The sequence below is a fragment of the Homo sapiens genome, chromosome 7 (assembly GCF_000001405.40).
Source record: "Homo sapiens chromosome 7, GRCh38.p14 Primary Assembly".
Lineage (NCBI taxonomy): Eukaryota > Metazoa > Chordata > Mammalia > Primates > Hominidae > Homo > Homo sapiens.
In genome coordinates, this window is record NC_000007.14 from 154,977,851 (window position 1) to 154,990,071 (window position 12,221).

Consider the following 12,221-nt stretch of genomic DNA (forward strand, 5'->3'; position numbering starts at 1 on the left):
TTCCTATGAAAACATGTATACTTTTATGCTTTTGTTTTTAACTTTTTAATGTACATTTTCGAACACAGACCAAACTTTTTAATGTACATTTTCGAACGCAGACCAAACTTTTTAATGTACATTTTCGAACGCAGACCAAATTAGAGACTAGTGGAATAAATCCCTTGTATCTGTCACCCAGCTTTAATAACTGGCAATCTTTTACAAATCTTGCTTCTCCTGAACTTTGTTTACGGATCTCAAATTGATAAAGACTTTCTAAACCACCATAATTATCATAGCAGCACAATGAACTATGATTCACCTCATCCTCAGGCCCTATTCAGATCTCCCCAGTAGTCTCAAAGGCTTTTACAGTTTCCTCTTCGGTTGCACAGCTGTGTACCTTAGTTCATCCCCCAGTGTTAGCCACGTGGTTGTTTCCAGTGTTTCACTACTATGAAAAACTGCAGTTATATTTTATGACAAATTCCTAGGTTTTGGTGTTGAGGTTTGAAAAGGAATAGATTTAAGGCTTCATATCTCTAACTACACTTCCCTTCCCAAAAAGGCTATTCCAATTACACTTCCAACAGCTATGTAAGAGTACATCAATTTACCTATACCCTCGACAATAAAATGTCTTATTCTTTACCCTAAAAAATCATGCTGTTCTTAAATATTTAAAAGCATAAAATGTTATATAGCTCTCCCCAGATGATAAATTTCTACTAGAGATTTTCAATTTCTGGACTACCCATTCCAGAAAAACCCAAGTTATTTTAGGAAAATATGAAGTCCAGGTACACAGCAGAATATTTATGAACCAATTAATACAAAAATATCATCTGCTTGAATAACATATGACTATATGTAATATGGTTTACATATGATTTTTCCAAGTTAAAAAGATATCTGTTGAAATAGTAAAATATGAAAAAAAGTTATTTTTAATTGTTTTAACAAATACCAAAAAACAAAACAAAACTACTGCCATGAAGAGGAGTCACTGAAAATTTTGGATATGAAAAAGATAATTTCACACTTAAAAGGCTGGGATCCAGTAGGCTCTTGAGTTCCTAGTTTGTATAGAATGCTGGCATTTCACATTTCAGAAATAACTTGACTATTTCCTGTGGAAATCTAAGTAAAACACTTAGGTAAACAGCCTTACTATATTTCACTCAAGTTTTCTCTCGCTTTTCACAAGATAGGTAGTTTTTAATCACTGAAAGACAGTAACTGTTTAAACAAAGATGATTTAAGAGGAAAGCAATGTTTAGATGCCTTTGCCTGACCCAATTTATCAGCTAAATTATTCTAAATTTTGTATCCTCAAAACTTCTAACTCACTAAGGGCTAAGGACCTCAAGGGTCAACCATGTCCCCTCTCCCCAACAACTAATAACCATACCCCGTTTCTGTTGGTTTTAAGTTATAAATTCTTTCATTCTTCTTAATTTGAAACTTTTAAACTTCAAGAGTATAAAAGGTAGTTTTATTAGGCCATTTGCACAAGCTTTTGCTATGTGCTCATTAAAGAAAACAAAAACATTTACTTTAAAAAGAAATGTTATTTTTGTGTACAGTCAGCTGGTCTCTAGCACTCATAAAACTTACAAATTAGAAGAAACTATTTAAATTCACCACTATTAGGTTTACAAATTTATGTCTGAATAGATTATAAAATACAATAATTTAAAGGAATGATAAAAATTAAGTCTTTTTAAAGGGATTTAATTTTTCAAATATTTGTGGTTATTGAGTTACATAAGCCACAAACATAACATAATCGTGAATCAAGAACATAATTATATTATGTTAATTATAATGTAAATAATAATTAATATAATTAATATAACCATTTTGGTTTTATAAATAGACTATGCCAGAATATATGGTTCCTTCAGTTCATTTTATAGACTGGTGCTTCTCAGCCTTCAAGGGGTGAGTTAGAAAGAACCAGGGAAGAGGCGAGGTGAGGCAGGGAACACCACGCCATAGAAGGGTGCATGGCCTACCAGGATCCAACAGGAATGAAACACTATTGCCTTAAAGACAACAGACAGACATGAGCATGAAGTCCAACTGTCAATTTCTGATCCTGTGATCTTGGCTGAAACTAACGCAGTGACACTAAAGAAGAGCTGTTACCACTCCCCGAAATTTTGGAAATTTGTGAGAGCCTATTGTATTTGTCACAAAAGCTGGCTGGAAGGAAATGGTTGAGGGAATGCTAAGTCCTAGAATGATCAAGACAATGCTGCATAGTCGAGGAATTACCCTACAAACATTCTGGTAACGTACCATCAGTCATATTAAAAAATATCTGGAGGTATGTACTTAATTTTCCAGAAAAATAAAAATAAAAATAAAAGGAATTATTTCTAGCTTATTCAAAAATTTACAAGTTAGTCAGTTTTTTTTTTAATTGAATTTTATTGGAAACTGTCACTAATGGCAATGATCACTTACCCTTTATGTCATCATTACAACAGATATACAACATTAATCTTTTTTTCGCAGCCGCTATATTGATGACTGTAATATATAAAAATATATGCTTATATATGTTATACATATACAAATATCTTTTATTTTTTGAAGCAGGGTCTCACTTTGTTGCCCAGGCTGGAGTGCAGTGGCACAATCATGGCTCAGTGCAGCCTCAACCTCCCAGGCTCAAGCAATCCTTCCGTCTCAGCTTCCCAAGTAGCTAGGACCACAGGCGTGAGTCACCACATCCAGCTAATTTTTTATTTTTTGTAAAGATGGGGTCTCACTTTGTTGCCCAGGCTGGTCTCAAACTTCTGGGCTCAAGAGACCTCCCACCTTGGCCTCCCAAAGTGCTGGGATTTACAGGCGTGAGCCACCACTTCTGGCCCATGTAATATCTTACTACTTCATTGTCTTCTAGGGTAGTTATGCTTGAGCATTAAAAAATCCTGGATGTTTTTCATTATTAATTGCTCTCTTTCTCTTTCTTTACATGTGGGCATTATGCCTTCTTAAAAATTAAGGGCTGGGAGTGGTTCTCACGTCTGTTATCCCAGCACTTAGAGGTTGAGGTGGGCAGATCACTGGAGGTCAGGAGTTCGAGACCAGCCTGGCCAACATTTGGTTTCTACTAAAAATACAAAAATTAGTCAGGTGTGGTGGCACGAGCCTGTAATCCCAGCTACTTGGGAGGCTGAGGCAGGAGAATTGTGTGAACCCGGGAGATGGAGGATGCAGTGAGCTGAGATCGCACCAGTGCACCCCAGCCTGGGCGACAGAGTGAGACTCTGTCTCAAGAAAAAAAAAAATTACTTAGGAATGGTAATGTGTACAGAACGGGGTTAGAGAAAGGAGTGGTGGGTGTCTGTGTTTCAGTTTCTTCAAGGGGACAGCAGGACTTCCTTCACTGTACGCCGCAAGCAGCACTGTACTGGCACTTAGTAAGTGCTCACTAATGGCTGCGTATTAGTGTTATTTTTATTACTGGCAGATACAAAATCTGCTTTTAACAAATATTTACCATTGCAGAAGAAACACAGTAAGCATTAAAATAGTAGTTCATTTTTCCCTATGTTGAATTAGTTCATGTAAAACTGGGAAATTAAAATTGGAAAAGCAAAAAAAGAGTTATCTTTCTTTTCCAGTCCATAAATGAAATCAAGAATGAAGAACAAATACATTACATAAGACAATATTATAATTCCACCATTGACTTAGATAAGATAATCTCTATATACATGCATAATACATTATATATATCACGTTTAGTATCAACTTTTAAAATATATGGAGTATTTGCTTTATCTAAATGTAATTATAGTAGCATATTTGTTGTCTTATTCACAAGCATGTTTTAGCCAAAGAAAAATGATTTAAGTGCCTCTTTGTTGGGATAAATAAAGCTCAATTAAAGTATTTATATATAGACCTTATGACTTAGATTTGTTTTTCCTTCCAAATAAAAATTTTAAAAGATTCCATTTTTAGCTATACACTTAAAAAATTAGTCTAAAGTCAATAAATACTTTAAAATATATACTCTATCCTAAAGCCCAAAGAATTACTAAGGATTTCTCATCAAAATATTTTGGAAGGGGAAAAAACGCTAAATTAAGGCACTAGAATTAAAACGTCAAATCACAATTCAAAACCGCTTTGACAAACCCACTCTGTTCACACAGTGCCTCTTAAATTGTCATTCTAAATCAGTGAAAAAAGCTAAAGGTTTCATTTCCCCTTCAAATTAACTATGTAAAAATCAAATACATTTTTGCTATAAATCAACATTAATGTAAAAAGAACCCACTATTTTAACCAAAGCATACTGTTTATTACTTAAACTGTCATGGAAAATATGTTTTTTACTTAAATTTTAGAAGTCACATGATAAATTTTATATAATGCTTTCTATAGAACAGTGGTTCTGAAACTTTAGTATGCATCAGAATCACCCACCAGAGGACTTGATCACACACTGACTGTTGGGCTCATCTGATTAGGTCTGGGAAGAGGCTGGACAGACTGCATTTCTTTTTGTTTTTTTGAGACAGAGTCTCACTCGGTCATCCAGACTGGAGTGCAGTGGTGTGATCTCAGCTCACTGCAACTCCACCTCCTGTGTTCAAGCGATTCTCCTGCCTCAGCCTCCTGAGTAGCTGGGATTACAAGCACATGCCACCATGCCTGGCTAATTTTTGTATTTTTAGTAGAGACAGGGTTTCTCCATGTTGGTCAGGCTGGTCTCGAACTCCTGACCTCAACTGATCCACCCACATCGGCCTCCCAAAGTGCTGGGATTACAGGCATGAGCCACTGCGCCTGGCCAACAGGCTGCATTTCTAACAAGTCCCCAAGGGGGGCAGATGCTGCTGATCCAGGGGTCTTACTTGTGGAAACAAAATCCATACAGCCACACCACTGCTCAAGGATGAGAGCCCTATGCTTATCAAGACAAAAGTCATTTTCATATATTCCAGATTATGAAGAAGAAAATATATAGAAAATTTCACCACACACGTTTATAATTATACCTGATACAAGGTTCTTAAAAAAAAATGGTGACGGGAACTAAAAATACATTTTTTTAACAAATAAAAATGAACCAAAGTTTTACTGGATTTGAAAGGAAATTCTACAGATTAATAAAATTTTCCTGTTTTCCGCATAAAATGAAGCAAAATTTCATAGTATTTAGAAGTTATATTTGGCTTACAATTTACAATCATCTCACATCGTTTGTGGAATGAAGCTGGATATAAATAATATAAACCAATATAATCAGCTTTTGTAAATGAAATATAATAACTAATTTAAAAGAAGCTCAAAAAAGACATGTGATTACTAGAAATTCTTAAATGACATACAAAAAGAAGGTGGCACAAGAAACGCTTACCCCCTTTGGCTCTGGAACAATCAAATGCGTGCATTTCTTATTGAGGGTTAGCTGGCAATCTCCCCCATAGAACGTAACCAAAGCCCACAGGGCACTTCTGTCTTCAGATGACACCTGACAGAAAGTTAGAAAGAAGGCTTTTACCATACATTTCAATCTGTGCATGGCTATATTTTCACTTTAGTAATATACTGCAACAATTCTGTTTCTCCCTTAATAAAATTAACCTAAGAATATTTGTAGAAAAAATAGAGAAGCTTTTAGCTATCTGCTTATTATAACAAAAACTTCACTCCTATCATAATAGTTTTACATATATGAATTACTTATTTTTGCCTTGTCACCAAATGAATTTAAAAATATTTATATCCACATTCCAAAAAGTGAAATGGAGGATTATTTCAGTCTATAACAAAAATAGTCAGGGGAAAAAAAGCAGGAAGAACTAGTATGCCATTCCAGTTTCCATTTGTGTCACTTTTGAAAATGTTTAAATACAACAGCAATATCAAAATCGTATTTTAGGAATGCCTTTATGCTAATGGATAACAAATACTAATTATGAAATGAATAAAATAAAAATAAAGATAAAAATATGGTGGCTTGTAAGTTCAGGGGAAAATGTAAATATTACTTAACACAGGAAAGAAAGAAGGCAAGCATAAAAGGAATAATTCTTATGCTTGCTCAGTGATGAAGTAACGACTCCAGATACAATGGCTTATGCAGTCAAACAGGCTTTCACTGTAACAATAGAAACAGCTACCATTTATTGCCTGCCTACTATGTGCCAGGAACTGTGCCAAGTGCTTTATCTATACAGCTAACCCTTCCAACCGCCATGTGAAACAGGAATCATCCACCCCATTTTAAACATAAGGAAACACACTAAATTACACCTAATAATTGGAAAAGCTGACTTTTAAAACCCAGGTCTGTCTACACCCAGGTCTAACTCCAAACTGGACTTTCCACTGTTCTACAGTGCTTCTCTAAGGGCAGTTACTGCTGGGAAAGTCAAAAATAATTTCTAAAAAAAATGAAATTTTAGAGTCTGAAAAGCAAAAGAACATTTAAGAAAAATAAAAATATAAGCATTAATTCTAAGATAATCATTTAACCGAGTAAATTTTTTCTGGATAAATTTATTGTAAGTTGAGGATTATAGTTGTTGAAGAATCCTGAACTTTGTCTCGTTAATTTTTTAAAAGTATTGATAATAGCATGTTAATCTCTTTTTAACTGCCAGTATGCAGCTTGCCAATAATCTAGCATTGTTCATCTACTCTCATCCATTTTACAAACATTTCTAGAAATTATTCTGTATTACACACTATTCTATGAATATTAACAAGAACATGTTAGCTTTCTAAAAAACACTTTTCAAATCATTATTTTATAACTTGTTAATTTAGTAAGTCAATGTCACATTTCAGAAGACTGGACCAGGTTATTTTTATTAGAGGCTTTCACAAAAACATTTATATCCTGCAGCATTGGAGAGTTGAGATTTAATTATATGATAATACAGATTAATCCAATGAGTCATTATCTAATCTTTATTAAAAATGAAATTAAAAAACAATCTAGATATGCCTTTATTACCAAGATTTGCCTATCTGTTCAGTTAAGTATTATTTTATTTTACTGACTGCAGTAAATCTAGTCCTATACCCTATTTGGCCTGTGTCACAGGCGTAGACCTCAACAGGGTGCAGGAGATTGCTGTGGAAAGAACATCAGCTAGGGAGGAATGGAGGAGACCTGGCATTAATACGACGCCTCCAATAACTCGCTTATGTCAACTTGGAAAACTTCCATGACCCAGATTCTTCACTGATGTACGTTTGGATTAAATGACTTTGAACATCCATACCAGCTCATTTAATGAATCTCCACCAGCGTAATTAAGAATGCTCTTTCCACACCAAAATGTTAACAATAGTTACTTAGTGGTGATAGGATTATGGGGACATTTTTATTTTCATTTTTATACTTTTCTGTATTTTCCAAATTTTCAAAAGCATTAATTTTATAATTGGGGAAAAGTGCTTTTCTTTTTTAAAAACCATCTTTCCAAAATACCAATGTTATCATGTTGGCTAATAATGTCTCCTCAGTGCTGCAAGGCTAAAATCCAAAGGCTCCCCCATAGTGTCCAGGCCCTTCCTGTCTGGCTGCTCCTAACCACCTCCTCCTGCCCATGAGCACTGCCCCCACGTGCACCTGCCGTCCTCACCACGTTCTGCTTTCCTGTGCCCCGCTGCGCCCACCCTCCGACCTCCTCCTCTAAGACTCAGCTCAGGTGGCATTACCACTGTACTCCCACAGCAAGCTGGACAGAAATCTAAATACTTCTCACACTCTACAACTATCTGCTTGCTTATCTGTCCTCCCAGCTATACTCCAAAGCAACCAGGAGCAGAGGACTAGAATTTCAAGTCTGTGCCCCCAGGAATAAAAGCTTTCCTTTAAACCAATCAGGAACACTCTCCCTTTTCCTTCTTCAGGCCTCACCACCCCCAATAAGACACTCCTTGATTCTAGCTTACAGGATTTTCTCCTTGTCCAGTCTTGACTATGAACTCTAACACTCCTTCTTAAAGAGTCTTACATGATGTCCTAAACTTCTCTGAGATCTTTCACAGCACCTAGTACAGTGCAAGGCACATGGGTAGGCAGTCAAGAAATACTGTTGATTGAGATACAGAATGGAAAGGACTTTTTAGTCTTCTAGATTCAAATCATGACCTAGCCAGGCTCTCCATTACACTCTTGACCTATTCCCCAAAACCTACCCAGCACATTACAACAGAGGCCTCAGCCTGCATCAATACCGGGTCAGAAGAAGGCAGATGATCTCTGTGCTTCCCAACTTCTGCTGGACAAGCTCCCTTCCCTACCTCTCCCTGGGAGAGCTCTGGAAGACTCCAACAAAGAGCTCCAGCTTGTATCAACACCCTGACGGGGAAAAGACAGAAGGTCACTGAGAACCACCAAGAAACAGTCCTTTTGTAAAGCTGGGGTCCTGCCTGGCGTGTGCATGTGAGTGTGTGTGCGCATGGGTGCTCCAGTGTGCAGAAAAGGTGCAGATCCCTCTGACAGTCTCCAATCAGTTAGGACTAACCACTGTGAGCACTCCCTCCTGCTTCTGTACCTGGTGCCCACTTTCATTTTTGCATATGTTGCAACATACCGTATTTGCCCAAGGCCTGACCCCTCCTAGACTGTATGTTTACTGAGAGAGAAATCGCATCTTAATTAATTTGTACCCCTCTGCATTGCTCCTGTCACAAAGGAAGTACCCATCAAGGATTTGTTGGACCAAAGTCCCTTAGCTGCACACTGTACATATGTTGTTAATGTATCTTACAACCAAAATAACATTTTTTAGCAACCACAAAATATTAGTGCTCCCAATGCACTTTTCTTAAACTACAATTTCCAGGGTTTCTTCATAGAAGTGACTATTAAAGTCTTCCCCATCCCTATTTGAACAATCTTTCTCAACTTAAAAGAAATGCTTTTATTTTACCCCATGACACACTGGGGATTCCAATTCATCACGCTAAGTGATGAACTGCGGGAAGTACAGTAAGTGACCCACAAAGATCATGCTATTTCTGGATTCTGATTTTTCTTATCCACTGAATTTGCTAAAAGGATATAAAATACTATCAAAGAGCTTGCTAAGAAATTAACCTTTTGGCCATCATTGACCCAGCCACTCCCCTTGGTAAGTTTAGCACCAAGGTAAAATTGGACCTTTCACCTGACAGTGGGTGAGCAGAGCCCCTTCCCAGAACACACAATCAAATGACACTATTCCACTGCAAAGAATCAAGATATTCACCTTCTCTGAGCAGTCTGCTCACCTAGTTGTTTCTTTATGGATATCCATCCTCCTATCCCCACAGGGACTACACTGGTGACTTCTCAGCTGAGAATCCAAGATCTACTTAGACCCCTTAGCCTGTGTGATGCTCACTGAGCCAGCTGATACTCCTGTATCACTTTCTATCATCCTTTTCCTCCTCTTCCTGGGTCACAGAATAGGACTCAGGATACACACAAACCTATGTACAACTATCTTCTACCAATTTATGCTCTAAATCTTTACCTGGGTTGTTGTTATTTCCCAGCAATGAAAATAAAAATGATTAAGTGTGACTTTACCTTGGTTTCTAAAAATAACGTCCTCCTCCTCCAGTATCATCTCTGTTTTCAAGCTCCTTCTTTTTTTCCTCCCCAAATCTCTCTACCAATGCGTGCTATCCAAGGCTCTACTCCCAGTTATCTGCTCCTCTCTCTATCATGCTCTGCAGGAATCTCCTTCATGCCACAGCAGCTCCAAGTTCCTACACTTCCATACCTTATCAACAGCCCAGAGTGTGTTTCAAACCAGTGTCACCATCTCCCCTCGCCAATCAGGCTCCTCCCTATTTCCCAGCTCCTTCAGCGGTGCTGCCACTTTCCTGTGCTCCTCGACTGAAACAATGACATAATCTTTGGCATCCACCATGGGATCTGGCACAGGGAGGTATACAGTGAGTGCTGGCTTCTCACTCTTTGCACCACAGCATCCCATGTCCCCAATACCTGCTGAGTCCCATCTGTTGCTAAGTCCCATGTTGTATCTGCTACCCTGAATCCCATCTCCATTTGTCAAAACTCCAGCCTCTGTCCTGCCCTGCAAGTCATCCTCAGAGCTCCTGGACCAGTTTTACCTGCAATGATCACAAGTGATTCTAATTTTGTTTGACTTTTGGTTTCCCAAATTTTCTGAGGTAAGTATTTGTAATCCAAAATCAATGAGAAAAAAAGGGTGATGAAGCATCCTGCTACCTACTTTACCCAGTTCAAACTCATATACCTTGGTTTCCCATCGTCTCTATCCATCTACCTGCCTGACCATTTTTTCTTCTACGTGCAAATGCACACCCTTGGTTGACACCAGTCTCCTCTTATCTAGCCTCTGTGTACTCCTGACTTCTCCTTCCACCTTGCTCTATGCAGAATGCCCTCCTCCCTTCCCATTTCCTCCAATTCTGTCCATTCTTTCAGGGCCACTCACACCTTACATCCACTCTGTCAAGGCTTCCCTCGCCTCGCAATCCAGACCAATGCCATCCTTCCTAAGCTCATAGAATCATACCTGTGGCCCCTGAGTGGTCATATATGTATCATGTATGTATGTCTACACTATAACCTAATTTATTACATGTATAATATAACAATTTGTTACAAATATAAACTCTGTTAAACATAACTATTAGTTCTTTGGAAGACTAATAATATTCTTTTGTGCTAAACTCATAGTTAATATTTAACAATATCTAATTACCTCATTTGAAACCCTATAATCATCTTATACTCACATACTTTTGATTTTCTTATTTATTTCACCAAATCAAGTCTTCAAAATCCCATGTCACTGTGACCTTCATCTCTGAAAAATGCCCATAGGACTCCCTGTCCCTGTCCCAAACTCAGCGTGGCCCTTCGTCCTCTCTCCCTTTCTCATTCAATTGGAATCATTTCTGGATAGTCGGCTCTGAGTCTCTGAAACCCAGAAATCCAACCAGTGCAAATAAAATTAAATGAAAAATTCACATTTTAGCCAAAGTACATTGTGTTTATACATAAGTAGTAATGCTTTCATTTTTAAAACTTTTCTGATAAGTTGATTGTAAATTTGGAACATACAGAGAAGTAGAGGAAAACAATAAAAATTACATGTAACCATAGCACCCAGCATTTCTTTTCTCATTTTAGCCAACTTTAAAGATCATTCATGTAAATATACACTTATAACAGATATGAAAAAACATTGCAAAATACAAATACCAACAAAATTCCTGTTAAAGAGAAAAAAATAAGCCAATTTTGCTACTTGAAGGATCTCCATCAAATTAATGTCACAAAAACAGGATTTTAGAGAACTTCCAGAATACAAGAGACACCAACAAAAACACAGTAACCACAGATAAATTTACTTATTACTTGGACAGAGGATGGATCAAGTTCAGACCGGTGATATCCTTTGTATTAACTGTTGAGTCTGGCCAACAACCTAACAATGCTAAACCAAATACTACCCAGCTCCGTAATCCTCTATCACAAAGGCATAAGGAAAAGCAAGATTATAACCAAATTTCTTTCCATCTTACCTAATAACTTGAATGTGCCCTTTTCTCAAAGGTGTGCACAGAAAAAGATGACTAAATACTTTTTCAAAAGTATCACCTATGAGCACCAAAATGACAGCCTGGGATGAGGACTGTCAGGTCAAATAAGATGGGACATCCTACAGTGCACTTTCACCTTCCTAAGGACCACTAATTTTAAACAAATTATTCCACGTAATTTGTAAAACGACTTTAAACAATAACAATTTGATTTTTTTCTAATAGTTTTTATTATGATTTGAGGTTTTTCTTAGCTGGGGGTTAGAAAAACAAAATACAATACAAAAATATTAAATATTCAGATACTCAGAACTAACCACTGTTAACATTTTGGTTTCTCATTTCAGATATTTTATCTGGCTGGTGTAATATTGTACATACCTAGGCTATGGCCTGCTTTTGCCACTTAAGACGTTTCCCATGTCTTTACAAGTTTTCATAAAACAGAATTCAAAAATGGCTAAGCAGCTAGACTACTGTGTAAGTATATACAATAGGTTTCTTAAACATTCCCAAATAGTGGATGATCCGATTGTTTCCAATTTTACCATCTTATAAATAATGCTTATCAATAAATGTAGGCACCTTTATGTGTCAGTCTGTCCTTCTATCGACTTGGGATAAGTTTCTCTTTTTTTTTTTTTTTTTTTTTGAGATGGAGTTTT

At 37.0% G+C, this 12,221-nt stretch overlaps 1 protein-coding gene across 5 annotated transcripts in view; it reads right to left on the bottom strand.

Moving 5' to 3' along the window:
* PAXIP1 (PAX interacting protein 1) overlaps positions 1-12,221 on the bottom strand; it is a 59,722-nt gene that overhangs the window by 34,161 nt on the left and 13,340 nt on the right. For 3 of the 5 annotated variants that reach the window (XM_011515982.4, NM_007349.4, XM_047420059.1), the window contains exon 5: positions 5,369-5,482. In XM_011515982.4, coding sequence (XP_011514284.1) covers positions 5,369-5,482 — 114 coding nt within the window. Of the gene's footprint in view, positions 1-5,368; positions 5,483-8,166; positions 8,330-12,221 lie in introns of all 5 variants that reach the window. The other 2 variants (XM_047420058.1, XM_047420057.1) reach the window with 2 other exon arrangements.